The 27,774-nt window shown below is 48.7% G+C and overlaps 3 long non-coding RNA genes, 1 other non-coding gene and 1 pseudogene across 5 annotated transcripts, besides 11 other annotated features; 2 read left to right on the forward strand and 3 right to left on the reverse strand.

Annotated features, from left to right (window-relative positions):
* Positions 4,443 to 4,737: a silencer, noted in NCBI's record as "tiled region #625; K562 Repressive non-DNase unmatched - State 5:Enh, and HepG2 Repressive non-DNase unmatched - State 1:Tss". NCBI's record gives its function as "represses a minimal TATA promoter and a strong SV40 promoter by Sharpr-MPRA in K562 cells, with weaker repression in HepG2 cells {active_cell/tissue: HepG2 | K562}" and the evidence as "EXISTENCE:reporter gene assay evidence [ECO:0000049][PMID:27701403]".
* On the reverse strand, positions 4,741 to 4,929 carry LOC124904147 (U2 spliceosomal RNA). Its single transcript, XR_007066020.1, has one exon. It is a non-coding gene; the product is annotated as a U2 spliceosomal RNA (small nuclear RNA).
* Positions 5,137 to 5,976: an enhancer, noted in NCBI's record as "H3K27ac-H3K4me1 hESC enhancer chr17:41445663-41446502 (GRCh37/hg19 assembly coordinates)". NCBI's record gives its function as "activates a minimal SCP1, AML or CMV promoter by ChIP-STARR-seq in primed H9 embryonic stem cells {active_cell/tissue: H9 hESC(primed)}" and the evidence as "EXISTENCE:reporter gene assay evidence [ECO:0000049][PMID:30033119]".
* Positions 5,137 to 6,029: a biological region, named in NCBI's record as "H3K27ac-H3K4me1 hESC enhancer GRCh37_chr17:41445663-41446502".
* Positions 5,260 to 5,319: a silencer, noted in NCBI's record as "silent region_8554". NCBI's record gives its function as "represses an Ori minimal core promoter by ATAC-STARR-seq in GM12878 lymphoblastoid cells {active_cell/tissue: GM12878}" and the evidence as "EXISTENCE:reporter gene assay evidence [ECO:0000049][PMID:35858748]".
* On the forward strand, positions 5,478 to 10,651 carry LOC105371785 (uncharacterized). Its single transcript, XR_007065761.1, has 2 exons — positions 5,478 to 5,831; positions 9,428 to 10,651. It is a non-coding gene; the product is annotated as an uncharacterized LOC105371785 (long non-coding RNA).
* Positions 5,870 to 6,029: a silencer, noted in NCBI's record as "silent region_8555". NCBI's record gives its function as "represses an Ori minimal core promoter by ATAC-STARR-seq in GM12878 lymphoblastoid cells {active_cell/tissue: GM12878}" and the evidence as "EXISTENCE:reporter gene assay evidence [ECO:0000049][PMID:35858748]".
* LINC00910 (long intergenic non-protein coding RNA 910) lies at positions 6,687 to 25,740 on the reverse strand. 2 transcript variants are annotated; one of them, NR_027412.1, is made up of 6 exons: positions 25,131 to 25,740; positions 18,115 to 18,502; positions 15,965 to 16,104; positions 14,513 to 14,655; positions 8,089 to 8,268; positions 6,687 to 7,881 (listed from the first exon to the last, which is right to left on the reverse strand). It is a non-coding gene; the product is annotated as a long intergenic non-protein coding RNA 910 (long non-coding RNA). The 2 variants fall into 2 exon arrangements; NR_027413.2 differs by lacking the exons at positions 6,687 to 7,881; positions 8,089 to 8,268 and having other exon boundaries at positions 12,770 to 14,655.
* Positions 16,592 to 18,010, forward strand: LOC124904007 (uncharacterized). Its single transcript, XR_007065762.1, has 2 exons — positions 16,592 to 16,949; positions 17,914 to 18,010. It is a non-coding gene; the product is annotated as an uncharacterized LOC124904007 (long non-coding RNA).
* Positions 23,791 to 24,306: an enhancer, noted in NCBI's record as "NANOG-H3K27ac-H3K4me1 hESC enhancer chr17:41464317-41464832 (GRCh37/hg19 assembly coordinates)". NCBI's record gives its function as "activates a minimal SCP1, AML or CMV promoter by ChIP-STARR-seq in naive and primed H9 embryonic stem cells {active_cell/tissue: H9 hESC(naive and primed)}" and the evidence as "EXISTENCE:reporter gene assay evidence [ECO:0000049][PMID:30033119]".
* RNU2-4P (RNA, U2 small nuclear 4, pseudogene) lies at positions 24,071 to 24,259 on the reverse strand (annotated as a pseudogene).
* Positions 24,307 to 24,822: an enhancer, noted in NCBI's record as "NANOG-H3K27ac-H3K4me1 hESC enhancer chr17:41464833-41465348 (GRCh37/hg19 assembly coordinates)". NCBI's record gives its function as "activates a minimal SCP1, AML or CMV promoter by ChIP-STARR-seq in naive and primed H9 embryonic stem cells {active_cell/tissue: H9 hESC(naive and primed)}" and the evidence as "EXISTENCE:reporter gene assay evidence [ECO:0000049][PMID:30033119]".
* Positions 25,113 to 25,866: an enhancer, noted in NCBI's record as "H3K27ac-H3K4me1 hESC enhancer chr17:41465639-41466392 (GRCh37/hg19 assembly coordinates)". NCBI's record gives its function as "activates a minimal SCP1, AML or CMV promoter by ChIP-STARR-seq in naive and primed H9 embryonic stem cells {active_cell/tissue: H9 hESC(naive and primed)}" and the evidence as "EXISTENCE:reporter gene assay evidence [ECO:0000049][PMID:30033119]".
* Positions 25,320 to 25,549: an enhancer, noted in NCBI's record as "active region_12242". NCBI's record gives its function as "activates an Ori minimal core promoter by ATAC-STARR-seq in GM12878 lymphoblastoid cells {active_cell/tissue: GM12878}" and the evidence as "EXISTENCE:reporter gene assay evidence [ECO:0000049][PMID:35858748]".
* Positions 25,463 to 25,757: a silencer, noted in NCBI's record as "tiled region #1953; K562 Repressive non-DNase unmatched - State 25:Art". NCBI's record gives its function as "represses a minimal TATA promoter and a strong SV40 promoter by Sharpr-MPRA in K562 cells {active_cell/tissue: K562}" and the evidence as "EXISTENCE:reporter gene assay evidence [ECO:0000049][PMID:27701403]".
* Positions 25,867 to 26,620: an enhancer, noted in NCBI's record as "H3K27ac-H3K4me1 hESC enhancer chr17:41466393-41467146 (GRCh37/hg19 assembly coordinates)". NCBI's record gives its function as "activates a minimal SCP1, AML or CMV promoter by ChIP-STARR-seq in primed H9 embryonic stem cells {active_cell/tissue: H9 hESC(primed)}" and the evidence as "EXISTENCE:reporter gene assay evidence [ECO:0000049][PMID:30033119]".

Below are 27,774 nucleotides of genomic sequence, written 5' to 3' on the forward strand. Positions count from 1 at the left end.
CTGCTGACTTATACACAAGTGTGCTAACAGGCCCCGAAGATCCGATGCAAACGCGTGGAGGTAACGAAAGAAGCTCCCATTCCACCTTGTCAGCAGACAGCGTTTGAAGATCTCCTTTGCTGATGTAACGCGAAATAACAGTAACTGATAGAGCAAGTTCCGCACTTAACCTGAGCCTAAACGACCAAGGCGCTGCCGGCATTAGCGTTCGTCCACGGCCCTCCTCCTCTTAGAGCCAAGTGTATTAATAGGTCCCGACAATCTGAGTGGAGATGACAAGAGGCTCCCATTCTATGAGTGGAGATAACAAGCTGATGACGAAACCCGGGTGCTCCCCTCATTGGCACCCAGCAGGCAGCACCGGCCCGCTCCCGGAGCCCTCCATCCTGCGCTTTCCCAAACCCCCATCAAAACACCAACCCAGTCTCCTCCCTCTCAAGCCATTTTCCAACCTGCCTGGGAGCCACTCTGATCTCCCAGAACACCTCATTTTGTGAATTATAAACCTTTTCACACCTTCTCGGTCCCTGTGTGATGTCACCAGTCTCGATTTCCAAAATAAATTTGGGGTCAGTGGTGGGGCTGGGGTCCATCTAGTTCTGCAGAGTGGGAACAGCACAGAAGCTACCGGACTTGCTGTGCGCATAGTCCAATTTGGGTGCAAAAGCCTCCCCACTGGACTGGGTGGCCTCTTATCAGTGACAAAACCAAGGGATTTGCTAGTCCCTCATTTACACACTGGTTACTGAGTGCCTCCCGTTGAGTTGAACACTTTTACTTCCGGGGAAAATTCGTTGTTCCAGACCAAGTTGACTACTGTCTTCACTGGACATTCTAAGAGGTGCTTTTGGTCCCAGGGAAATACCCCGGAAGCTGTGAAGTACAACAGCCTTAGGCCCTGTCCCAAATATTCTAATTTAATGGCTGTACGGTGGGGCTAGGACCTCAGGATGATTCACTCCACCGAGGTATCCGGTCGTCCTGAAGTATAGCCAAGGTTGAGAAGCACCGATAGACACGGAAGAATTTTCACTCCCCTTCAGCAAAGACCTTTGTAGGTATGACCTCCTTTGGCTGTCATTGTTCAGAATGGTGGGGGGTCTGGCAAGAGCGAGTCTTAGGGCTGAGACTAAACCCAATTTATAGGATTTAAGTCCTCTAGATGGGAGGTGGGACAACTGGGACTGCTCACTTGTTCACATGTACATCGGCCTGGTGTATTTCCACCAGAAACTGTTCCTCATTATACTGTCTGCCTGGGCCGATCCCTCCTGTCATAAGTTGACACAAGTAAATTGCAAAGTCCTAATCACCTAATTTTGGTGGAGTCTTTAGGTTTTTCCAAATATATCACCTTCAAACGAGGATAATTTGACTTCTTCCTGTCCTTTTTTTTCTTCTTCTTTTTCTTTTCTTTTTTTTTTTTTTAAGACAAAGTCTCACTCTGTCACCCAGTCTGGAGTGCAATGGCACGATCTCGGCTTACTGCACCCTCTGTCTTCCGGGTTTAAGTGATTCTCAGATCTCAGCCTACTGAGTAGCCGGGACTACAGGTGTGTGCCACCATGCCCAGCTAATTTTTTTATTTTTGTAAAGGCAAAATTTCACCATGTGGCCTAGGTTGGTCTTGAACCACTGGACCCAAGCAATCCTCCTGCCTCTGCCTCCCAAAGTGCCAGGATTACAGGTGTGAGCCACTGCGTCCAGCAAGAATAATTTCAATCTCTGGTAAATGCACCTGATAGAACTGTGAATTTCCAACTTCTTTGTCTTTTCTTTTCTCTTTTCCTTTCCCTCTCTCTCTCTCTTTCTCTCTTTCTTTCTTTCGTTTCTCTCTTGTTGCCCAGGCTGGAGTGCAGTGGGGATCTTGGCTCCCCATAGCCGGTGCCTCCCGGATTCAAACAATTCTCCTGCCTCAGGCTCCTGGAGTAGCTGGGATTACAGGCACAGGCCACCATGCTTGGCTAATTTTGTAGTTTTTGTAGAGACGGGGTTTCTCCATGTTGGTCAGGCTGGTCTCGAACTCCCAACCTCAGGTGATCTGCCTGTCTCGGCCTCCCAAAGTGCTGGGATTACAGGTGTGAGCCACCGCGCCTGGCCGTTTTCTCTAGTTTCTTTAAATTTCCTCAAAATGGCTATTTTGAATTCTCTGTCTGAAATGTCACGTCTCAGTTCCTCTGGAATTGAACAAATGTGGTTTGGTGAGACCATGTTTTCTTGGATGATCTTGATGTTTGTGGATGTTTGTTTTGTCTGCGTATGGAAGAATTAGGTATTTACTGTATTTTTCACAGTCTGGGCTTGTTTCTGTGTGTCTTTCTTGGGAAGGCTTTCTGGGTATTCCAGGATATGTGTGCCCCAAGTCCAATCATGCTGTGATTCTTACAGACTTGTAGAGGTACTACCCTGGTGGTTATTGGGGGAAATTCAGCCAGCTATCAGGCAAAATTCACCCCTGATATTTTACGTAGTTCTTTTCTATTTTCCTGAAGTGTCGGCCAGTCTGAGAAATAAAGGGACAGAGTACAAAAGAGATAAATTTTAAAGCTGGGTGTCTGGGGGAGACATCACATGTTGGCAGGTTCCGTGATGCCCCCTGAGCCATAAAACCAGCAAGTTTTTATTAGTGATTTTCAAAAGGGGAGGGAGTGTACGAACAGGGTGTGGGTCACAGAGATCATGTGCTTCACAAGGTAATAGAATATCACAAGGCAAATGGAGGCAGGGCAAGATCACAGGACCACAGGACTGGGGCAAAATTAAAATTGCTAAGGAAGTTTCAGGCACACATTGTCATTGATAACATCTTATCAGGAGACAGGGTTTGAGAGCAGACAACTGGTCTGACCAAAATTTATTCGGCGGGAATTTCCTCGTCCTAATAAGCCTGGGAGCGCTATGGGAGACTGGGGCTTATTTCATCCCTACAGCTTCGACCATAAAAGATGGCCGCCCCCCGAAGCAGCCATTTTAGAGGCCTACCCTCAGGGACGCATTCTCTTTCTCAGGGATGTTCCTTGCTGAGAAAAAGAATTCAGCAATATTTTCCCATTTGCTTTTGAAAGAAGAGAAATATGGCTCTGTTCTGCCCAGCTCACCGGTGGTCAGAGTTTAAGGTTATCTCTCTTGTTCCCTGAACATTGCTGTTATCCTGTTCTTTTTTCAAGGCGCCCAGAATTCATGTTGTTCAAATACACATGCTCTACAATTTGTGCAATTTACACAATCATCACAGGGTCCTGAGGTGACATACATCCTCCTCAGCTTACGAAGATGACGGGATTAAGAGATTAAAGTAAAGACAGGCATAGGAAATCACAAGGGTATTGACTGGGGAAGTGATAAGCGTCCATGAAATCTTCACAATTTATGTTCAGAGATTGCAGTAAAGACAGGCGTAAGAAATTATAAAAGTATTAATTTGGGGAACTAATAAATGTCCATGAAATCTTCACAATTTATATTCTTCTGCCATGGCTTCAGCCGGTCCCTCCATTCAGGGTCCCCAGCTTCCCGCAACAGTGGTCTTGGATGAGATCTGAAAGAATCCTCTGGATTACCAGGCAGAGACTCTTGTTCTTTTCCCTTACTTTCTCCTAAATAAATGGAGTCTCTCTCTGTGCTGAGATGCCTAAGCAACCCTGTGCTGGTTCAGACCCAAACCCAGCACAGCACCAGGTCTCACTCAAAGGCCTGCTAGATCCACTACCTGCTACCACCTATGCCCCCTCAAAGCAGTAGAGCTCTAGGATCAGGTGGCCAAGCCAGCCAGGATTATGTCCCTCCCTTTAGGGCAGTGAGCTCCCTCAAGCCCTGGGTGGGTGCTGGAATGCTGTCTAGGAGCCAAGGTTTGGAGTCAAGACCTTAGAAATGTAACTGATGTTTTATTCTACTGCAGTTAAGCTCCTACGGAAACCACAAGAAAAAAGTTCTCCCCACTCTTGGCTAACTGCAAGATGCCTCCGATGAGGCCTCCTACCCAAACCTTTCTTATTCGCAGGGACCAGGCTTTCTTACTCGCAGGGACCAGGCTTCAGCTCCCTGACTAAGAAGTCAAATAAAGGTCGGGCGCGGTGGCTCAGGCCTGTAACCCTAGCATTTTGGGAGGCCAAGGCGGGCGGATCACTTGAGTTCAGGAGACAAACCTGGCCGACATGGTGAAACTCCCTCTCTCCTAAAAATACAAAAATTAGCCAGCCATGGTAGCGAACGCCTGTAGTCCCAGCTACTCGGGAGGCTGGGGCGGGAGGATCGCTTGAATCCGAGAGGCAGAGGTTGCAGTGAGCCGACATGAGGCCACTTCACTCCAGCCTAGGCAACAGAGTGAGACTCGGTATCAAAAAAAACAAAAAAGAAAAAATGTGAGCAGTTGGGAAGCAATAATATGAAAAATGAGAGCAAAAGTAACTGCAACATTGGGGAAGACTAAACAACGTCGCTTCTGGCGTTGGCTTATGGATGACCACCCTGCTTTCTTCACGTTTTAACTGTCTGGAGTCCAGAAATTAGCAATGCACCTCCTTGGCATATCAGGATGCCAACAAGCACCCTTGTCCCCAGTTTCAGGACTCGGCGGCGTACTTTCCCAATACGCATTCCCTTATTCTCAATCCGGTTAGAAGCAAAGAAGTAATACCACCCACCAATACTTTCCTTATACAACACAAAAACACACACACACATACACAACACCACATAATGAAACCAACGCGAATGTAAGTAAATCTGTTCTTTGTAAAACGTGTTTTGACCCTCTTTGGAAACACGGCAATACCAAGTCGATGCGCAGAGTGGAAAAAACCAGCTCCTATTTCATCTTTCTATTCCAAAACCCCACTTAAATATATCGTCCTCAGACCAAAAAAAATCAGTTATTCAACTGAAAAAAACATGCTACATTGGATCTTAGTCAAAAAGCCAAAAAAGAAACAAGCCCTTTCTTTCGGCCACAGCACTCCTTCTCCCACTCATCCTGAGGTCACGGTAAGAAAAATGATCCTCAAGTAAAGAAGCACTCTCTTCCCTAAGTTCACACAGTGTTCCTTGTTACAATTTGTAACATTGCATAAGTAATACTGTTACAAATTTGGGGGGGATATTCGCTTTCTCTTTTTGTTCCCATAGCTCCTGAGCGAAACAGCCATTTTATATTTGCATGCCCCGCCCCACAGGCTCCGAGCTCCGTCCTCCCCGCAGGCTGGCCCTATTACCACCATCTAACATCATCTTGCTGGACTTGCTTTATGTATTTATTTAAGACGGATTCTCGCACTGTTGCCCGGGCTGGAGTGCAGTGCCGCCATCTCGGCTCTTGCAGCCTCCGCTTCCCGGGTTCACGCAATTCTCCTGCCTCAGCCTCCCGAGTAGCTGGGATTACAGGCGTACACCAGCACATTAGGCTAAATTTTTGTATTTTTAGTAGAGACTGGGTTTCACTATGTTGGCCAGACTGGTCTGGAACTCCTGACCTCGTGATCCGCCCGCCTTGGCCTCCCAAAGTGCTGGGATTACAGGCGTGAGCCACCGTGCCCGGTCTGGACTTACTTTATTATATGTTATAGACATGTAATTACATATTTTGTATAGTTGACCACACAGAAACAGGCACTTAGGTCTCCGTCCCTCTAGCCATTTCTCAACCGTCTCGACCGGCGAGTTTTCGTTGAGGCGAGGGAGCGCTCGCTCCCACAGGTTCGAGGGCTGGGCGGAGCCTTGGGAAACGGGCCCTGGTAATCTCCGCTCAGTGAGTGGCGCTGCGAAGCTGCTTCTGCCCGGGAAGGAGGAGAGGGGCCTGGAACCGCCGAGGGAACCACCAGTTCCGACGCCCTGGGGTGGGCCCGGAGGACCGAGTGGCTGGGGCGGCACGGGGCGGGGGGCTGGGCGGGAGGAGCGGGGGTCCAGGAGGTGACCCAGGAGGGGGTAGGATCGGGCTGGGCCTCGTGGGCTCCCTGCCCCCGGAGGGGGCGCGCAGAGGGAGGGCGGTAGCCCAGTGAGCGCGACCACTACTTCCCTGTGAACGCGAGAGCTCAGACAAGCCACAGGGGGCCAGAGCCGAGAAACCGGAAGACCGGCGAGGAGACCATAGCACACTCCCAGGAAAGAGAGCGCGAGGGCTTGGGCCAGGATGGGGGCAGTGCGGGGGCTGAGGAGTGGCCAGATTCTGGGTGTACTTTGAAAGCAGAGCTGATGGCCTTTGCGGACAGTTGGGATGAGGGGTGAGAGAAAGGAGTGGAGGGTGACTCCAAGGGTTTGGCCAGAGCGACTGCCACATTCAGCCTGGGCGACAAAAGCGAAACTACGTCTCCAAAAAAAAAAAAAAGTCTGCCAGGCGCAGTGGCTCACGCCTGTAATTTCAGCACTTTGGGAAGCCGAGGCGAGCGGATCATTTGAGGTCAGGAGTTCAAGACCAGCCTGACCAATGTGGTGAAACCCTATCTCTACTAAAAATACAAAAATTACTCTGGTGTGGTGGCAGGGGCCTGTAATCCCAGCTACTTGGGAGGCTGAGGCAGGAGAATCTCTTGAACCCGGGAGGCAGAGGTTGCAGTGAGCTAAGATAGCACCACTCTGCACTCCAGCCTGGGGAACAGAGTGAGACTCTGTCTCAAAAAAAAAAGGTCGACAACACATAAGGCTGAAGGAGACTTAAAGAGACCTGACAACCAAAAGTGACAAGTGATCCTGGGCCAGAAAAACCTAAAGGACTTTATTGGGACAATTGGTGAAATCTGAACTCGGACTGTAGATCCAGTATGGAATTAATGTGAAACTTCCAGAAGGCCTTTGTTCTTAGGAAACACACCGAAGTATTGGTGGACTGGGGGGTGAAGGGACATCCTGTGTGCAAATTACTTACCAATGGTTCAGGAAAAAAATGTATATAGGTGTCTTCTTATGAGTGTGTGTGTTGTGTAAGAGAGAGTGAGACAGAGAAAGAGTGAGAGAGAAAATTATAAAGTAAATGTGGCCATCAAGGGGAGAGAGAGGGAGTGAAGGAGGGAGGGAGAGACAACAGAGAGAGAGAGAGAGAGAAAAGAAAGAGCACGAACTTGGGAGTTAAGAAGTGTGTCACTGAACCCCAGACTTCTCGCTTTACCAACTGTGTACCTTGCGGGGATGGGGAAGAGGGTAGAGAAGTTCTCCATGTAAGTCTTTTAACTTTTCTGCAAGTCCGAAGTTATTCAAAGATTAAAATAATTGAGGCTGGGCACAGCAGCTCATGCCCGTAATCCCAGCACTTTGAGAGGCTGAGGTGGGCAGATCACCTGAGGTCAGGAGCTCAAGACCACCCTGGCCAACGTGGTGAAACCCCATCTCTACTAAAAATACAAAAATTAGCCAGGTGTGGTGGTGCATGGCTGTAATCCCAGCTACTAGGGAGGCTGAGGCAGGAGAGTCACTTGAACCTGGGAGGCAGAGGTGGCAGTGAGCCGAGATGGTATCACTGCACTCTAGCTTGGACAACAGAGGGAGACTCTGTCTCAAAAAAATAAATAGGCCGGGCGTGGTGGCTCACACCTCTAATCCCAGCACTTTGAGAGACGGAGGTGGGCAGATCGCTTGAGGTCAGGAGTTTGAGACCAGCCTGGCTACCATGGTGAAACCCCATCTCAATTACAAATTCAAAAATTAGCCCAGCGAGGTGGTGGGCGCCTGTAATCCCAGCTACTCAGGTGGTTGAGGCAGGAGAATTGCTTTAACACAAGAGGTAGGGGTTCCAGTGAGCCAAGATTATGCCACTGCACTCCAGCCTGGGTGACAGAGTGAGACTCCGTCTCAAATAAATAAATAAATAAAATAAAATAAAATAAAAAATAGAGAGAGGGGGGAGAGAGAGAGAATGACAGGGACAAATATAGACAAGTGTTTGGAGGAGTTTTCCTGTTAAAAGAAGGGAAATGAGATGGTAACTATAGAGTGAAGTGGGGTCAGGGTAGGGTTTATTTTATTTACTTATTTTTAGGGTTTGTTTTAAAGTGGAAACAATAACAGCACTTTTACATGCTGGAGGTGGGCAGGGGGTGGGGGCTGGAAGAGAATACAACCCAGAGAATATGAAGGATGCAGGAGAGAGAGAGGGAGAGTTACCAGAGGTAAGGAGGGATGGATGGGTTCCTGTGCCCAAGTGGCAGGTGGGCCTTTGCCAGGAGCACGGATGGCTCATCCACAGCACCAGAGGGGAAGGTAGAGGTGGTGGTTACACGTGGAGGAGGTGGGTGGATGTGTCCTGGGAACTCACGGAAGTTTCCTCTGATTGTTTCTATTCCCCTGGGGACATAGAAAGCAAGGTAGTCAGCTGAGGTTCTTTGGAGGTTGAAGAAGAAAGTGAGAATCAGCTGTCTGGAAAATGTAAGATCTATACATTAGGGAAACAGGATGATTTCACTTCTCAACACTAAGAGGCTCACCTGAGTCAGTGATTGCAAAGTTAACCCCCACTATACCACCAGGGTCCCTTGGACCCAAAGTTATAGCTGACTAATCCATTCTTCTTCCCACCCCGAGCCCCCATTCATTTCCGTTTCTTTTTGGAGCAATTCTAGATGTACATACTGATATTTCATGACCTTTGTTCTTTTACAGGTCTTCCAATGAAATAAATAAGTTTCTTTCTTCCCCCCCTCTCCTCCCCCCCGCTTTTTTTTTTTTGAGATGGAGTCTCACTCTGTTGCTCAGGCTGAAATGCAGTGGCACGATCTTGACTCACTGCGGCCTCTGCCTCCAGGTTTCAAGAGATTCTCCCACCTCAGCCTCCCAAGTGGCTGGGTTTACAGGCATGCACCACCATGCCCGGCTAATTTTTGTGGTTTTAAGGTGGGAAATTAAAGAAAAATAAAATTAAAAAGAAAGAGAAATAAATTTTCATGTATTAGGCCGACTTGTCCCAGAGGCAGCAACGGGCACAGCCCAGACCCAGGAAAAGTCTTGATAATATTATCTAATGTGCTCTGGAGACTCTCTCAGCAATCCCTCAACATAAGGAGAAGAAAAACAAATTTTCCTTTGTTTTATGGAATGAGTTTATAGATTCCTGTTCTCTGTAACTGTAGGGTCCAGCCCTACTGGGCCTTGCGGGTTGTTCTCTTCGTGTGCAGAGACGAGAGACGGTAGAAAAATATGACACGAGACTAAGAGATAGTAGGAAAGACAGCTGGGCCCAGGGGGCCACTACCATCAATGCACGGAGTCCAGTAGTGGCCCCGAATGCCTGAAGGTGCTGCTATTTATTGTATACAAGGCAAGGGGGCAGGGTAAGGAGAGTGAGTCATCCCAAGTGATTGATAAGGTCAAGCAAATCACATGGGGGTCTTCTTTGTGGTAGCAGAAGCAGAGAGAGGACCACATATGTCAGCATTTTTTCTATGCACTTATCAGAGAGATCAAAGACTTTAATACTTTCACTAATTCTGCTACTGCTATCTTCTAGGAACTTAAAAGAGGAACCAGGTGTACAGGCAGAACATGAAAGTGGAAAGGAGCGTGGCCACTGAAGCACAGCACCACAGGGAGGGGTTTAGTCCTCCAGATGACTGCGAGCAGGGCTGGATAATGTCAGACCTCCCACTAGAGCTGGTGGAGCAGAGTGTTCTCTAACTTCCCCCAAGGAAAGGGAAACTCCCTTTCCCGGTCCGCTAAGTAACGGGTGCCTTCCCAGGCACTGGCGCTACCGCTAGACCAAGGTGTCCTCAAGCGGCCTTTATCAGGATGTGATAGAGGACTTTCACTCTTATCTTCTGCTCACTTCTCACAATGTCCCTTCAGCTCCTGACTCTGTATTGGCTGGTCTTTCCTCGGTTATAATAATAATACAGAGATTAATACTAAAAACTAATGATTGATAATATCCATATATAATCATCTCTATATCCTATTTCTTTTTCTTTTTTTTTTTTTTTTTGACATGGAGTTTCACTCTGTCGCCCAGGCTGGAGTGCAGTGGCGTGATCTCAGCTCACTGCAAGCTCCACCTCCTGGATTCATACCATTCTCTCGCCTCAGCCTCCTGAGTAGCTGGGACTACAGGCGCCTGCCACCATGCCTAGCTAATTTTTTGTTTTTGTATTTTTAGTAGAGACAGGGTTTCACCCTGTTAGCCAGGATGGTCTCAATCTCCTGACCTCGTGATCCGCCCACCTTGGCCTCCCAAAGTGCTGGGAGCCACTGCATCCAGCTCTATTTCCTACTTCTAATATAACTTTTCTTATTCTAACTATTTTCTTTACTATATTGGAACAGGTTGTGCCCTCAGTCTCTTGCCTCAGCACCTGGGTAGGTTTCCGCCTACATGTAACCAGTGACTTCAAATATTCTGTTTTATCTAAGAAGTACAACGAAGGTCATGAGAAGCCTGAGTAGGCCTGAACTACAGCTGCCTGGGCACCATAGTGAAGGTTATAGGATAAGCCCATGCCCAGACAAACCTAGATAACGGACATCTGGGTTACTTGGCAACAGTCATGTGCAATCCTGTCTTTGTCCTGCCTCTGTATTGCTGCTTTTCACACCACTGTAAGCTTGCTTCAAGCTAGCCCACCACCTTCTGTGAAGTATGTATAAAAGTCAGATGCTGTCTTTGTTCCGGGCCCAGTCTTTTGGACGTTGAGTCAGCTGGGCCTGAGTGCACTCAATAAAGATTCTAGTTTCAACCTGAGGTCTCTCTCGTCCTCCTGAATCCTGCAACATTTCCAGTAGAGACAGGATTTCACCATGTTGGCCAGACTGGCCTCAAACGCCTGACATCAAGTGATCTGCCCACCTCTACCTCTCAAAGTGCTGGGATTACATGCGTGAGCCACCATGCTCTACCGTTTTCTTCCCTTTTTAAACAGAATAAAACTCATTATGTCTTGCAATGACCATATAGATCTATTGGTAGGCCCTCTTATAACCTGTCAGCACCATCCAGCCAAAGGCCACCAGGAACACACCTGTCATGACATGAGTTAGCTTTGAGGGAGAACGTTTTGCATGCCACGGGGAACTGTGGGGCAAATAAGTAAGAGGGTGTCAGGGATGGTTTATTACAGGATTTGGGCATGTGTTAGGTGGTTTGAGGAGTCCTTTCTCTGGGATGCTCTCAGGAAGTGGGGGTAATTCTATGATTGAGGATCTTAACAAATTTCACCAAGAAGGAGGGAAGAGTAGAGGAAGGCCAAAGCCGTAATTGGCTAAAGTAGCAGCAGTCGATCCTATTAGCCAGGACATGGGGTATGGCCTGGCTGTGAATCCCAGACCCACTTCTGGTTCTGCTTTTCTCTTTCCAAAAATCCAAGACATATTGTGGGATCTTAGCGGTCTTACTTCTTCTGCATCTTGAAATGATTTGCTATTTCATCATCCTGGGAAATCTTCTGTAGTTAATTCATTGATTCCCAAAAATGACTTAAGAGTCTTCAAGAGGCCAGGCACGGTGGCTTATGCCTTAATCCCAGCACTTTGGGAGGCCGAGGCGGGCGGATCATGAGGTCAGGAGTTTGAGACCAGCCTGGCCAACATAGTGAAACTGTGTCTCTACTAAAAATACAAAAATTAGCCGGGCATGGTGGTGCATGCCTATAATCCCAGCTACTCAGGAGGCTGAGGCAGGAGAATCGCTTGAATCTGAGAGGCGGAGGTTGCAGTGAGAGGATTGTGCCACTGCACTGCAGCCTGGGTGACAGATTGAGACTCTCTCAAAAAAAAAAAAAAAAAAAAAGAGGTGTAAGAATTAAAGAGGAAAGAAACATGAAAGGGGATGGGCAGTGGGGAAGTGGAGTAACATGTACCACAGAGTAACAGAGGGAGGGGTGGTAGAAGGTGATTGGAGAGTGTGACCCTGGAAGTGGATGGTGGATGGCGTTATGGCATCAGCAATGACAAGATCTAGACTTAGACCAGGGAAGTGAGTGGCTGGGGTACGTAAGGCCTAGGTCAAGGAACTGGGGAACTGGGTGTCAACTGATGACAGGAGTTATGTTGGAAAGTGAGCCAGGAGCTAAAACCTTCAAGGAATAAGTAAGTGTTGGCATGAGTGTGACTGGCCACCAGGACAGATGACAGCAATAAAGGGAGGTAGTGGGCAGTATGGGTACAAGGCACAATGGAATGAGGGGTGGGGAGAACCAACAGAGAAAGGAAAGCAATCAATGTCCTTAGTGGAGGATAAAGCGAAAGAAGAAAGGAGGCTGGGAATAGGGAGGACAGCAGGAAAATGAGCAAGGTTTCAGGAATCAGACACGGGATAAGAGATGAAGCTTCTTGTGCCTGACCCACACAGAGCAGAAATGCAGAACTTCAGGGTCATTCTACAGTGAGTGGCAGATACATGGAAGACAGCTGCAGCATTAGTTCTTTGCACTCACTACCTGGGGGATGTCACCTCTGTCCAAGTATAATGCCCAGGGGGTTCTCCTTGCCTGCTGCCTAAACAGAGCTGATTCATCAGAACAGGGGAATTGCAATAGAGAAAGAGTAATTTGGCTGGGTGCAGTGGCTCACACCTGTAATCCCAGCACTTTGGGAGGCCAAGGCAGGTGAATCACCTAAGGTCAGGAGTTTGAGACCAACCTGGCCAACACAGTGAAACCCTGTCTGTACTAAAAATACCAAAAATTAGCCGGGCGTGGTGGCACGTGCCTATAATCCCAGCTATTGGGGAGGCTGAGGCAGGAGAATCGCTTGAACCTGAGAGGCGGAGGATGCTGTGAGCCAAGATCCTGCCATTGCACTCCAGCCTGGGCAACGAAAGTGAAACTCCATCTCAAAAAAGAAAGAGTAATTCACGCAGGGCTGGCTGTGTGGGAGACCGGAGTTTTATTATTACCCAAATCAGTCTACCCGAGCATTTGGGGAGCAGACTTTTTAAGGACAACTTGGTGGGTAGGGGGAAGCCAGTGAGCCCAGGAGTGCTGATTGGTCAGGGATGAAATCATAGGGAGTTGAAGCTGTCTCCTTGTGCTGATTAAGTTCCTGGGTGGGGACCACAAGATCACATGAGCCAGTTAATCAGTCTGGGTGGTGCCAGCTGATCCATCAAGTGCAGGGTCTGCAAAATATCTCAAGCACTGATCTTAGGAGCAGTTTAGGGAGGGTCAGAATCTTGTAGCCTCCAGCTGCATGACTCCTAAAGCATAATTTCTAAACTTTTTTTTTTTGAGACAGAGTCTCACTCTGTCGCCCAAGCTGGAGTGCAGTGGCAAGATCCTGGCTCACTGCAACCTCCACGCCGCCTCCCAGGTTCAAGCGATCCTCCCACCTCAGCTTCCCAAGTAGCTGGCAGTATAGGCATGTGCCACCATAACCGGCTAATTTTTGTATTCTTTAGTAGAGATGGGGTTTCACCACGTTGGCCAGGCTGGTCTTGAACTCCTGACCTCAGGTGATCTACCTGCCGTGGCCTCCCAAAGTGCTGGGATTACAGGGGTGAGCCACGAGGCCCAGCCCATAATTTCTAATCTCGTGGCTAATGTTAGTCCTCCAAAGGCAACCTAGTCCCCAGGCAAGAAGGAAGTCTGCCTTGGGAAAGGGCTGTTAACATCTTTGTTTTAAACTATAAAATAAAATATAAACTAAGCTTCTCCCAAAGTTAGTTCAGGCTATGCTCAGGAATGAATAAGGACAATTTGGAGGTTAGAAGCAAGATTGGGTCGGTTAAGTTAGATCTCTTTCACTGTCTCAGTCATAATTTTGCAAAAGCGGTTTCACAAGCAGTCAATACCAGGAGCCTCTGAAGACCACCATAGCAGTCCTCAGTGCCAGGCAAATCCACTAAAATAGAAACACCAGGCTTTGCCAAGAAGGGAAAACAAAAAGAAAAACAAAACAACTTTATCGCACATTTCATTAGAATTTCAGGGACAGGCTGGGTGTGGTGGCTCACAACTGTAATCCCAGCAATTTGGGAGGCCCAGGTGGGTAGATCACTTTGAGGCCAGGAGATCAAGACCAGCCTGGCCAATATGTCGAAACCCATCTCTACTATAAATACAAAACATTAGCCAGACATGGTGGCACGCACCTGTGATCCTAGATACTCCAGAGGCTGAGGCACAAGAATCACTTGAACCTGGGAGGCAGAGGTTGCAGTGAGTTGAGATTGCATCACTGCACTCCAGCCTGGGTGAGAGAGAGAGACTCGAATTTCCATGGACAGGCATTCATGTTCAGGAGAAGGGGGGTCTGGGCACTGGAGTTGGAGGAAAGAGCCTCAGTAAAGGTACAGAAACGTTAAGCACAGGGCAATCAGAAAATGAGGGGACCGGTTCATACATCTATGACCCATCCAGCCACCTGGGAAGGTAGGATCTGGGCCTTAGCCTGTCCCAGAGAATGCAGTAATGCCCTGTCCCAGAGAATGCAGGCTCCACGTGGGCTCCTTCCTACTGTAATTGCCCCCATTACACCCACATCCATCCCCTCACAGACTGGTTTATGTGCCAGACTCAGCCAGCGGGTGGAGCTTCTCCCGGGAAGCCACACCTCCACCTCCCCAACACGCAGCACCCCAGCCTCGCTCTGACAGGCTCTTCCTTACATCATGGCAGTTTTTCATCAGGGAACCACTGTCTCCACAAGCCAAATGCTGTTGTAGGCCAATCAGACTCTGAAATCCATGCACCTTTGTTAGCAGGTCATCGTGGAGGATGCACCCATCGAAGGTGGCCTTCCACCCCCGTCCTATAAAAAGAAGGCCACTTCAGCAAATAGAATAAAGAGTCTGACAATGTCTTTTTTTTTTTTTTTTTTTTTTTAACTTTCTTGTTATGGACCAATCAGTAACCATGATCACGACCACATTTGAGAATCAGGGCTCTTTGCAGCTGGGGCAATACTTCTGGATCGGGAGCAACTTATCATGGAGGACCTGGTATTAGAGGACACGTTGACAACATAGAATAATACAGGCAAGTACGATCAAGGCATTAAAAGTCCTCACATCAAGATGGACATGGCCTTCTCCCAGTCCATTCCACATACAGCATTTATTTGGCCGGCACTGCTGTCTATTTCTTCAAGAATGCATTTTCTCCTAATCATTCCATTTCAAACAGAGCCACGGCTTTAAATGCTTAGGTTAATTTCAAAAGAGGTGAGTCCCTTTCAGCATCTCATGGGGCATACTGTATCTCCTTTCTTTCTTTCTGTTTTATTTTATTTTATTTTATTTTTTTGAGACAGAGTTTCACTCTCGTTGCCCAGGCTGGAGTGCAATGGCGCGATCTCAGCTCACCGCAACCTCTGCCTCCTGAGTTCAAGCGATTCTCCTGCCTCAGCCTCCTGAGTAGCTGGGATTACAGGCATGTGCCACCACGCCTGGCTAATTTTGTATTTTTAGTAGAGACAGGGTTTCTCCATTTTGGTCAGGCTGGTCTCAAACTCCTGACCTCAGGTGATCCACCTGCTTCAGCCTCCCAAGGTGCTGGGATTACAGGCGTGAGCCACCGCACCCGGCCTGTATCTCCTTTCAAAAAGAGCTGCTGTCCTTGTCCACTTTGGGAAGCCAAGGAGGGCGGATCACCTGAGGACAGGAGTTCTAGGCCAGCCTGGCCAACATGGTGAAACACTGTCTCTACTAAAAATACAAAAATTAATTTACAATGAGCTGATGGACCCACCCGGGGTCAAGACAGTGACCAAGCGAAATGGGCGTGGGCGTCACGAGGTGTCTGCGGAAGGAAGTTGGAGGAGAGTGGTCCGAGCTCTTTTGAGGAAAGCCATTACTGTGAAGAGCGGAGCTTCAGCGGTCTGGCTGGGTCGGAGGCGAAAGCGGAGCCCATGAGCCCCCTCTCCCCCACTGGGGGGGGACTTCCCGGGGCCGCAGAGAGAAGTCCGACTGCGACTGCGAGATCGCGCCCTGAGGGGGCTGCCGCCCTGGGAGTCACAGCCCCGCCCCTCTCCCTGCCCTGTCAGTGGGGACTGGGGACAAACTACTTAACCTTCGGACTCTCAGTTTCCCCAGCTGGGAAGTGGAAACACCACTGCCTACCTCGTGGGGTGGAGGGAGCAGAAACGGAGCCGAGGGCGCGACCGCGGCTCAGTAGTCTGGAATGTGGGTCCCAGTATCCGACTAGCTTCCCCCGAAGGGGTCTTGGCTGTGATACCGAAGCACCTGAGCAACTGCGTTGCCTGCGGACAATACAATAGGAAGCATTTACTGTTTGGCCTAGGCTGTGTGCTAAGTGCTCTCGTCATTACAAACTCGCAAAGGTTACCTACAGAAGGAAACCTTGAGATGGAGGTTAAGCAGCTTAGGCAACAGAGCAAGACCCAGTTTCTACCAAAAAAAAAAATTTTTTTTTAATTATTATTATTATTTTTTTTAAACGGAGACTCGCTCTGTTGCCAAGGCTAGAGTGCTGGAGTGCAATGGCACAATCTTGGCGCACTGCAACCTCCACCTCCAAGGTTCGGGGTAGTCTCCTGCCTCAGCCCCCCGAGTAGCTGGGATTAGATCTTTTAGCAAGTTGGGCAGATGACTCATGCCTGTAATCCCAGCACTTTGGGAGGCCGAGGCAGGTGGATCACCTGAGATCGGGAGTTCGAGACCAGCCTGACACCAACATGGAGAAACCCCGTCTCTACTAAAAATACAAAATTAGCCAGGTGTGGTGGCGCATGCCTATAATCCCAGCTACTAGGGAGGCTGAGGCAGGAGAATCGCTTGAACACCCCTTCTCTGGTCTCATGGAAAAATGGTTTGGAAATGGAAGGGACTCATGACCTCAATCTTTACCTCCCTTGCAATTATTACCAGTGTACTCATTCTTGTAGGTTGTGTCATACCTTGCATTTGTGGATTTGTGCAAAGGCTTATAGAAACAGCTCTTACCAAACCCCTCTCCATTCTCCCCCACCCTACTCAGATAAACTCCTACTTCTAGAAACCAAGAGGAGCAACAAAGCCAAAATATATTAGAGGAATTTGAAGAGGAAGAACTATAAAGTCAGGAGGGGGAAAATTGCCAGAAACAGTAAGTTCCTCTTCAAAGTTTCCTTGGTCTTTCTTGCTCTATACGCAGCCCTTCCTGCTTAATCAGGAAGGAGCACTTGTTTCTCTGTTTAATGGGTAACTAGCAAACCTCTTACTTGGTAAACAACCCTTCCCGCCTAGTTGGTAATGGACAGCCTCTCCCTTCCTGCCTAATTGGCCTTATTCAATTTCAAGCACTAGTCAATTGGGTCAGCTTAGACTGTGCTGTCCAACTCCAGCAAATGGGGAAAGGACACAGAAACAGAAACTGTGTTAGGGATAAAAACCCCTGCTCTACCCGGCTTGATGTGCTCTTGGGATCAGTCAGACGCAAGCTGTACCCTTCTGCAGAAGTAAATGTGCCTTGCTGAGAAATTCTTTGTTTAAGTGGTGGTTTTTCTTTGCAGCACTGAACACTTGTTTCTAACACCTGGGGGGCAGAGGTTGTGGTGAGCCGAGATCTTGCCATTGCCCTCCAGCCTGGCGCCATGGCTCACATGGGAGGCTGAGACAGGCAGATCACTTGAGCACAGAAGTTCGAGATCAGCCTGGGCAACATTGGCAAAACCCTGTCTCTACAAAAAATACAAAAACTAGCTGGGCATGGTGGTTCAGGCTTGTCATCCCAGCTACTTGTGAGGCTGAGGTGGGAGGATAACTTGAGTCCAGTAGGCAGAGGTTACAGTGAGCTGGGATCATGCCATTGCATTCCAGCCTGGGTGACAGCCAGACTCTGTCTCAAAAAAGAAAAAGAAAAAGAAAAAAAAGTGGTGGAATCTCTTACACCAGTAAGGGGGTGTACCTTTTTGCATGCTTAAGATCTTCTATTTTCTTTTCTATGAGCTGACTGCTCAGATCCTTTCCCCATTGGCCTTTTTGAATTGTTGATCCTTTGTATTTGCATCCCTAACCTACTTGTTCTAGTCTATGATTTCAGTTACACATCCAACTTTTGTTTTTTTAAGATGGCTAACCAGTTGCCTCAGCATCATATATGGAGCAGCCCACCTTTTCATCAGTCTGAGATGCCACTTTTATCATATAATAAAGGCCTCATATATACTTAGGTCTATTTCTGAAACTTTCTTTTAAACAAAAGAGCCTTCTGGTATCATGGCTGTTTTTTAAACTTTTGATTGATTGTGTACCTACCTTTGTATACCTACCTTTGTGTACCTGTGAACGTGGCCTTGTCCGTGTGGTTAGCAAGGAGCATGTGTTCCATTCCTCCTCTGGCTGCCCTTCAACACCATCCACTGCTCACAATGCTGCCAGGGAAGCCTGGGCACCTCCAGAGGTGCCAACCTGACCATGCCAAGGCTGCCAACTCCAGGTGCTTCTAAGGTTTTCAGTCCTTGGGCACCAGGAGGCTGCCAGGTTTCCTGCCAGCTGAGGAGAGCAGCCTATTCAACTATTCAACCTATGCAACTCCAGGTCCTGCTATTTCTGTTTTTCTTGGCCCTGATTGCACTTCAGTTTTCGCCCTGTCTTCTGGAATGGCTCCTTCAAATTCCCCTTTTCATCACATCAGTTTTCACAGGTAGTTGAAGAGATCTGCTTGGAGAGAGATACCATTTGTTTCCCTATTTTCCTTTGCCTCCTCTCTGACTCCTTCCACCACCCCTGCCCCCTGCCCAGCCCCACCATTCTTTTCTCTCCCGCCTGGGCCTCTTCACAGTTACCAACCAAAAACTTTCACTTATAGCAACAGAAACAGAACTGTGCCAATCTGTGTGGCCTTGGTGGGGGAAGGGAGATTGTTTGGCTGCAGCAGCCAGCAAAGTTAGTGTTCCATATGGCTCCTTTTTTTGTTTCTGTTTTTTTTTTGGGGGGGGGCGGAATTTCGCTCTTGTTCCCCAGGCTGGAGTGCAATGGCATGATCTCGGCTCACCACAACCTTCGCCTCCTGAGTTCAAGCGATTCTCCTGCCTCAGCCTCCCTAGTAGCTGGGATTACAGGCATGTGCCACCACGCCTGGCTAATTTTGTATTTTTAGTAGAGACGAGGTTTCTCCATGTTGGTCAGGCTGGTCTCGAACTCCCGACCTCATGTGATCTGCCTGCCTCGGCCTCCCAAAGTGCTGGGATTACAGGCATGAGCCACTGCACCTGGCTGTTTTTTTGTTTTTTTGATACACAGTCTCACTTTGCCATCCTGGCTGGAATGCAGTGAAGAGATCACGGCTCACTGCAGCCTTGACCTCCCAGGCTCAAGCAATCCTCCTGCCTCATCCTCCCAAGTAGCTGGGACCACAGGCGCGCATCACCACAACTGGCTAATTTTTTTTGAGACGAAGTCTTGCTCTGTCACCCAGGCTGGAGTGCAGTGACACAATCTCAGCTCACTGCAACCTCTGCCTCTCGGGTTCAAGCGATTCTCTTGCCTCAACCTCCCAAGTAGCTGGCACTACAGGTGTGCGTGTCCAGGTAATTTTTGTGTTTTTAGTAGAGACAGGGTTTCACCATGTTGGCCAGGCTAGTCTTGAACTCCTGACCTCAAGTGATCCACCTGCCTTGGCCTTCCAAAATTCTGGGATTACAAGTGTGAGCCACCACGCCCAGCCACCTGGCTAATTTTTGTTAATTTTTTTTTTTTTTTTGGTAGAGATGAGGTCTACCTATGTTGCCATGGGTGGTCTCAAACTCCTCCTCAAGCGATCCTCCCCCCTCGGCCTCCCAAAGTGCTGGGATTGCAGGCATGAGCCATTGCGCCAAGCCCATATGCCCCTTTAAAAAAAAGATATTTAGTAGAAATGGAGCATCTTGCTACAGTCTTGCTGCTCACAGTGTGGTCCCCAAACCAGCACCATTGATATCATCTGGGGGTGGGTTAGAAGTGCAGAATCACTGGCTCCAGACCTATTGCGTCAGAACCTGCATGTTAACAAGGTTCCCCCAGAATGCACATGCACATCAGAGTTTGGGAAGCATTCTGCTCTGGGACTTGATGACTGAAGGAGGGAGGCTGAGGGAGAGAGAAGAAGCAAATATGTTTTTTGAGACCTCAATTCTCACTACCAATATCTGAAACTTGGGGACCACATGGATTTGGATAACAAGTGATACAGTTATAACTCCAGATGTCTACGCTGGTGGCTGAGTGGGTCTTAGAACACTTTCTGGGGTTATAAAATACAGAATCAGCAAGTTGAGGCAGAAAGGCCTGAAGGGAGATGGCAAATCCGTGTGAGCAAGGCTAAGTCTAAAGACCCATGGGCCAGGGGTGCTTACTGAGAACAGAGTACGTGGCACCATTAGGGGCAGAGGATGGAAGCAAGCACATATGAAACTAGGCATGGTGGCATGCTCCTGTAGTCCCAGCTACTCAGGAGGCTGAGGTGGAGGGTCACTTGAGCTGGGGAGGTCGAGGTTGTGAGCCATGGTCATGCCACTGCCCTCCACCACGGGCCACAGAGCGAGACTTGAAAAAAAAAAGAAAGAGAGAGAGAGGGAGAGAGAGAGAGAGAGAGAGAGGGAGAGAGAGAGAGAGGGAGAGAGAGAAAGAAAGAAAAAAAGAAAGAAAAAGAAAAAGAGAAAAAGAAAGAGAAAGAGAGAAAGAGTTGAAAATCTTGGAGGCCTTTGAAAACATAGAGAGACTGGACTTCTGTTTCTATGATCAGGGTGAGGTATACAGGTGGTCCCCAGTAGCCATGGACTGGGAGAGATGACACGGAGATACTACTTTGTGTAAGAGAAGAGTACATGTTTCAGAATCACAGGAACACCAATGTGTAATGAGCAGGCAGGCCGAGAGAAATGACAACGTATGTCCTTATAAAGACTTAGAGGCAAATGTTTAGAGCAGAATTATTCGAATAGCTTTGAACTGAAAACTACTCAAACGTCCATCAGTGGGTGAACGGATAAACAAAATGTGATATTCAGGAATAAAAACATAATGGTACAACATAATGGCACATGTCACAATGGGGATGAACCTCAGAAACATTATGCTCAGAGAAAGACATCAGTCAGACACAAAAGACCACATACTGTGTAATTCCTTTCATATGAAATGCCAGGAACGGGAACTCTAGACATAAAGTAGATCAGTGGTTAACTCAAGATGAGGGTGGGAGTGGGCAATGACTGTGTAGGGGAGGCAAAACTTTATCTCCTTAGGGTCCTTGCTGGGCCTGAGACTCAAACTGACATAGATTAGCAGGAGGAAAGCTATCATAAAAGCTGTCAATGTAAGTTTTACATGACACGGGAGCCCTCACAAGGAAATGAAAACCCAAGGCCACGATCATATATGTGCATTTGTTCTGGTTATTTTCTGCCTCCCCTTCCACTTGCCATTCTTCTCTCCCCTGCTCTTTTGTACTGCATAGAGCTGCATAAGGGTCGTGAGCCAAACAGCACTCCCTCTTGCTGCAGCTGGTCACAGGGCTGCCCCTGCTACTCATCCTGTGCCTCATGGGCAACATGTTATGCCCATGTCCAAGGTACAGAGAAGTGGACCCAGAGCCAGGGAGAGGTGATAGGGACCTTTGGGCGGGGTGGGAGGTGCTTATTGAGAACAGAGTCCATGTCACCATTAGGGAGAGAGCATGGAAGCAAGCACGTTTGACAATCCTGTGTCTGCCCTGTTTCTGGAGAGGCAGATGCAGACAGCAGGTCAGAGGGAATTTGACTGGACAGGAACTTGGGGGGTTGAGGGTAGCCATTGCATATAACCAAACCTGTTACACATTTCTTTGATATCTGATGTCATTGTGACATGATCTAGAAACCTCTGTCAAAATAGTTCCTAATGATACTAAACAACAACTGAGACTGTTTATTGAGTTTGTGAAATCAAGGAGTGGCTGCTCTTCTAGAAGCAGTGAGTTGATGTCTGTTCTAACATTGTTCTGAGACAAGGAAACCTTTTTATACTTTAATAGCCAGGGTCAGAATTTCTCAGATTGTATATTTGCATGTAGCACAGGAGATGCTCTTTTAATAAAAATCCAGAAATTTGTTGTGCACATTATTCAATAGAGAACAATATCAAATTAAACCAACAACAATGACACTTAACATTTGCCCAAAGCTTGGTAAATGTTGATGGTCACTGTGTACCTTCAGATAGCTGTGTACTCTAACAGAGAGAATGATTTCAAAATCAGTTGAAGAGAAAACGCCTCTGCCTGCCTGTACCTGTATATTACTGTCAATGTCAATCAGGAATGTGTGGGTTCATTCCAGTTATTTTCCGGCTCCCAATCTACTTGCCATTCTTTCATCTCCTGCTCTTTTGTACTGCATAGAGCTACAGAAAGTTAGTGAGTCAAACGACAGCCCCTCTTGGTGCATTTGGTCACAAGGCTGCCCCTGGTACTCAACCAGTGCCTCCTGTCCTCTCCCCTCCAAATCCCCCCTCCTTCTCAGCTATCAACTCTGTTAATCCTGGTGGTTTCCCTGGCTACCGTGACCCAAACTCTCATTCCTGAAAAGTCTAAACCCCTCAAGGCCACATCTTTCTCAAGTCAGGGTTCCTGCACTTGTCCATTCATGTCACAGGTGGACCTGGGAGTAACACGTGGCACCCAAACAGATCACCAGAGTTCACATATATTCCACCTGCCCTCCCTGCATAAGAGCACTACTCCCTCTTCCTGATGATGGTTCAGGGCCATTAATCCCTGCCAAGATGGTGACTGCTCCTGCCTGCTAGTTCAACCTGTCCAGCCACAGCTGTAGCTTGAAGGCTTGAAGTTCAATGGGACCCACTTCTGCTTCCACGCTTTCTTTCCTTTAATTTTAATTTTTATTTATTTGAGACAGGGTCTGGCTCTGTCACCAAGGCTGGAGTGCAGTGGTGCAATCACGGCTCACTGGAGCATCCACCTCCCAGACTCAACTGATCCTCCTGCCTCAGCCTCTGAAATAGCTGTTGTACAGATATTCGTCACCCTGAACAGGGCTTCACTACCTTGCCTAGGCTGTTTCTTTTGTGCTTTGTTTGTTCGTTCGTTTGTTTCGAGATGGGGCTCTGGCTTTGCCGCCTAGGCTGGAGTGTAATGGCGTGATCTCACCTCACTGTGGCCTCCTGGGCTCAAGCCATCCTCCCACCTGGGCCTCCCAAAGTGCTGGGATTACAGGCATGAGCCACAGTGCCCGGACTGAAGATATCCTTTAGAGAAAGAAGCAGCGGGTAGTTTTGCCAAGGCCAGACAAGATTTCTGGAGTTTGGAAAGGGTGAGAGATTGGGTCAGCAAAAGACACATTCTGATCTTTATGCTGGGATGCAATTTATAGATACAGGGATGAGACCCAAAAAAGCTGGGAGAGATTTGTCATCATGGTTGCAAGGCAACTGCCGGTGGCTGATCCCGTAAAGGATACACATACCTAGAACAGAGCCTAAAAAAGCATCAAGCATGAAGGGTGGAGCCACGATGCTTGGACTCGAGTTCTGCTCCTGTGCATTCCTCGGTAACTTAAACTACCTGTGCCTCGATTTTTCCTGGGGAAAAAAGGAAGTTTGTAGCCAGTACATTGGTGCCTGCCTTAAAGTAGAACTACTCCATGGGCTGAAGAGGAAGTTCAGCTGGGCGTAGTGGCTCACACCTGTAATCCCAGCAATCTGGGAGGCCCAGGCAGGTGGATCACCTGAGGTCAGGAGTTCGAGACCAGCCTGGTCAACATGGTGAAACCCCGTTTCTACTAAAAATACAAAAATTAGCTGGGCATGGTGGCGGGTGCCTGTAATCCCAGATACTCGGGAGGCTGAGGCAGGAGCATTGCCTGAACTCGGGAGGCAGAGGTTGCAGTGAGCCGAGATGGTGCCGTTGCACTCCAGCCTGGGTACCAAGAGCTAAACTCCATCTCAAAAACAAAAAACAAACAAACAAACAGAGTAAGTTGAAGTCCAGCCTGGGCAACACACCACTGGAATCCATCCCTTTGAAAGGTCATCACCCCTCCACAGCCAAGCTGAGATTTAAAGCCCTCCAAGTAAAGTCGAACATGTTCCCTACTTGGAAATGAATATTCTTGTTTTGGGTCCTAGGATACTCTCCATAAATCATGAACCTTATGATACTTAAAGGAGTAAGAAAACCTACCAACTATCCTAAACTACCCGGCGCAGTCTTTTCTTTCTAACCTTGCAAACAGGTTGTATCCCAGGAGAGGGAGCCCCATTCCTGGAGGTACTGCAATACCAGGTCGACGCGTGGAGTGGACAGAGCAAGCTCCTATTTCATCTCCCTGCTCCAAAAATCTATCTAATATAATTGTTCTCTGATAGAGGACGTATCAGATATTAAACTGATAAGAACAGATACTACACTTGATCTTAGCCAAAAGGACGAGAAGAGATGTCGTCGCCTTCCTCCCTGCCATCACCGTCCCACTCTCATCTACATTCAAGACGCGGTGAGAGCCCCAGCCTCGCTCCTTGCCTCATTCACTTTGTCTTGTCCACACCAATATTGACGCCATTACACACTCGGGCTGATTTCTTATTCTCCACGTTTTAAAAGAAAAATCTGCCGGGCGCAGTGGCTCACGCCAGTAATCCTAACACTTTGGGAGGCCGAGGCGGGTGGATCACAAGGTCAGGAGATCAAGACCATTCTGGCAAACACGGAGAAATCCCGTCTCGACTCAGGAGCTCGAGACCAGCCTGGGGAACACGGTGAAACCCCATCTCTACTAAAAATACAAAAAAATTAGCCGGGCGTGCCGGGCGCGGTGACTCACGCCTGTAATCCCAGCACTTTAGGAGGCCGAGGCAGGTGGATCACGAGGTCAGGAGATCGAGACCATTCTGGATAACACGGAGAAACCCCGTCTCTATTAAAAATACAAAAATTAGCCGGGCGTGGTGGCACGTGCCTGTAGTCCCAGCTACTTGGGAGGCTGATGCAGGAGAATCTCTTGAACCTGGGAGTCCGAGGTTGCAGTGAGCCAAGATTGCGCTACTACACTCCAGCCTGGGCGACAGAGTGAGACTCCATCTAAAAAAAAAACAAAAACAAAAAAACAAAAATTAGTCAGGCGTGGTGTCGCGCGCCTGTAATCCCAGCTACTAGGGAGGCTGGGCAGTAGAATCACTTGAACCCGGGAGGCGGAGGTTGCAGTGAACCGAGATCGCGCCACTGCACTCCAGCTTGGGCGACAGAGCGAGACTCTGTCTCAAAACAACAACAAAACAACAACAACAACACAAAAACCAAGAGAAATCTTACACCAGTTCTAGTTCCGGGGTTTCCGGGCTTTCATTTCGAATTTGCATGCCCTGCCCTTTCCCAGGAGGCGTGGCCACCGCGGTTGACTCCACCCCCGGGCCCGCCTCCAGCTAAGGAGCCGCGGCTGGGCTAGGGGCGACTTCCTTGTTTGTATGAGCGAAAAGACTGAACCAAAAGAGACAGGGGGTGAAAACAAGATAGGTCTGTGGAAGAGACCTGTAGGCGGAGAGCGGTCCCTGTTTTCCTGGAGAAAGACGAGTCGCAAGATATCATCACCAGGGGAAACCAGGCTGAGCTGGATCTTTACGTCGTCACCAGTGGGCGGGGAGACCAGCCTTGTACCCACTGGACAGCGGGCCCATTCCGAGTCAGGGAAGCAGAAGGCCTGGAGGAGCTTCGGGGAGCAGGGGCTGGAGTTCCTCTGCCAGGCAGGAGGCTGACACCAGACACCGGGCAGAGGGAGGCGGCGCATGGACGGCGAGGGCCCAGCAAGGATTCTCCCCAGCCCCTGTGCCTGCGTCTCCTGCGGCTTCTGTGCGCGGACCGTGTCCTGTGCTGTGTAGGGAAAGCTGCTTCTCTGCTTGGGACGTGGATTCCTTTACCCTCCTCCTCGCCTGACTACTTCTGACGCGGGTCGTCAGGACTCCGCTTGGGTGTCACCCGTCCAGGAAGCCTCCCTTAATTAAGGGCCCTCGGCACCCACCCCATATGTGATTAGCAGCCCTCCTGTGTATTTCATCGCACCTCGTTGTTTATATCAACTACTCCACTCACCACCCTTCTGGGCAGTCCTTTATCTCCCCCTCTGAAATCCGATCGCTGAGGGCTGGGACCCTCATCAGTACTTATCCCCGTTTCTCTGCGCTAGTCTAATTAGTGCCTGGCAAGTTGAAGGCGCTCAGTAAACGTTTGTGGAGCGAAGAAACGACGGATAGGGCGTAATGAGCACGACACACGCAATCAGAGAGGACGCAGTTAGGAGGCTATTGGCCCGGGGCAGGCGTGAAGGGGGAAGATCGGGCTCGGGGTGGGAGGACACCAGAGGGCGGGGTGACTGTCGGGGTGCTCTGGAGGAAGATGGGCGTCAAGGCCCCCAGCAAGGTTGGGATAAATTTTCTCTCTGAGGCACAGACTGCCGCCTGTAGCGTCAGCATTTACCATTCCCGTCCTCCTTCCTAACACAACAGTTGAGATGAGAGTTTATGGCTCTTTTATTTGATTTCAGAAAAGCAAGAAGGTATCATAGATCCGATAGTGACACTCAGTCAGTCATGCTCCCCCTGCAGGATGGAAAGCCGGATGGCAGGGATTGCCTGGTGAACAACCAGGTCAAAAAATATAAACTGTGCCTTTCCCAATGCCAGCCTCGGGTCCGAGGGCTCTACGTGCATTATCTCTTTTAGTTCACTCGACAGCCCTAAGAGATGGGCGTTATTATTAGCCACGGCCAGGATTAGGGTGAGGTCATTCCTCTAGGTTCGAATTTCAGGGGGTGATCCTCCAGAACCCTTCAGTAATCAAAATAAATAATAGTTCAATGCAATATATCTTATCTCGATTATAAGATAATCAAGCCATTTATCTGGATTGCTGAGTCTTTTGGTGCCCCCTTATTTTTTTTTTTAACCTCTCAGCAAGTGTTTCCCTCATTTCACTTTACCCCAGTCTCCACCGAGTCATTGTCATCTCCATTCTATTACCCTGTGAAGTGCAATATGGCAGCCACCCACCTCGGCCTCCCAAAGTGCTGAGATTATAGGCGTGAGCCACTGCGCCTGGCCTGTCTGTCTGTCTGTCTATCTATCTATCTATCTATCTATCTATCTGTTCTTTTTTCTGAGACGGAGTCTCGCACTGTCGCCCGGGCTGGAGTGCAGTGGCGCTATCTCAGCTCACTGCAACCTCCGCCTCCCGTGTTTAAGCGACTCTCCTGCGTCAGCCTCCCAAGTAGCTGGGACTACAGGTGCGTGCCACCACACCGGACTGATTTTTTGTATTTTTAGTAGAGACGGGGTTTCACCGTGTTAGCCAGGATGGTCTCCATCTCCTAACCTCGTGATCCGCGTGCCTCGGCCTCCCAAAGTGCTGGGATTACAGGCATGATCCACCGCGCCTGGCCATATCTATCTATATTTTGAGACAAGGTTTCCCTCTGTTGTCCAGGCTGGAGTGCAGTGTTACAATCACGGTTCACTCACCATACACCAAGATAAATGCCAAGTGGGCCAAAGATTTCAAAGTGAAAAAAATGGAACTATAAAAGTATATAAGGGCCAAGGCCAGGCGCGGTGGCTCACGCCTGTAATCCCAGCACTTTGGAAGGCCGAGGAGGGCAGATTACGACGTCAGGAGTCAGAGACCAGCCTGGCCAATGTAGTGAAACCCCATCTCTACTAAAAATAAAATTAGCTGGGTGTGATGGCACGCACTCGTAGTTCCAGCTACTCAGGGGGCTGAGGCGGGAGAATCGCTTGAACTCGGAGGTGGAGGTTGCAGTGAGCCAAGACCATGCCACTGCCCTCCAGCCTGGGTGACAGAGTGCGACTCTGTCTCAAAAAAAAAAAAAAGTATATGAGGGCCAAGCACGGTGGTTCATGCCTGTAATTCCAGCACTTTGGGAGGCCAAGGTGGGCAGATTGCTTGA

The sequence above is a fragment of the Homo sapiens genome, chromosome 17 (assembly GCF_000001405.40).
Source record: "Homo sapiens chromosome 17, GRCh38.p14 Primary Assembly".
Classification (NCBI taxonomy): Eukaryota; Metazoa; Chordata; class Mammalia; order Primates; family Hominidae; genus Homo; species Homo sapiens.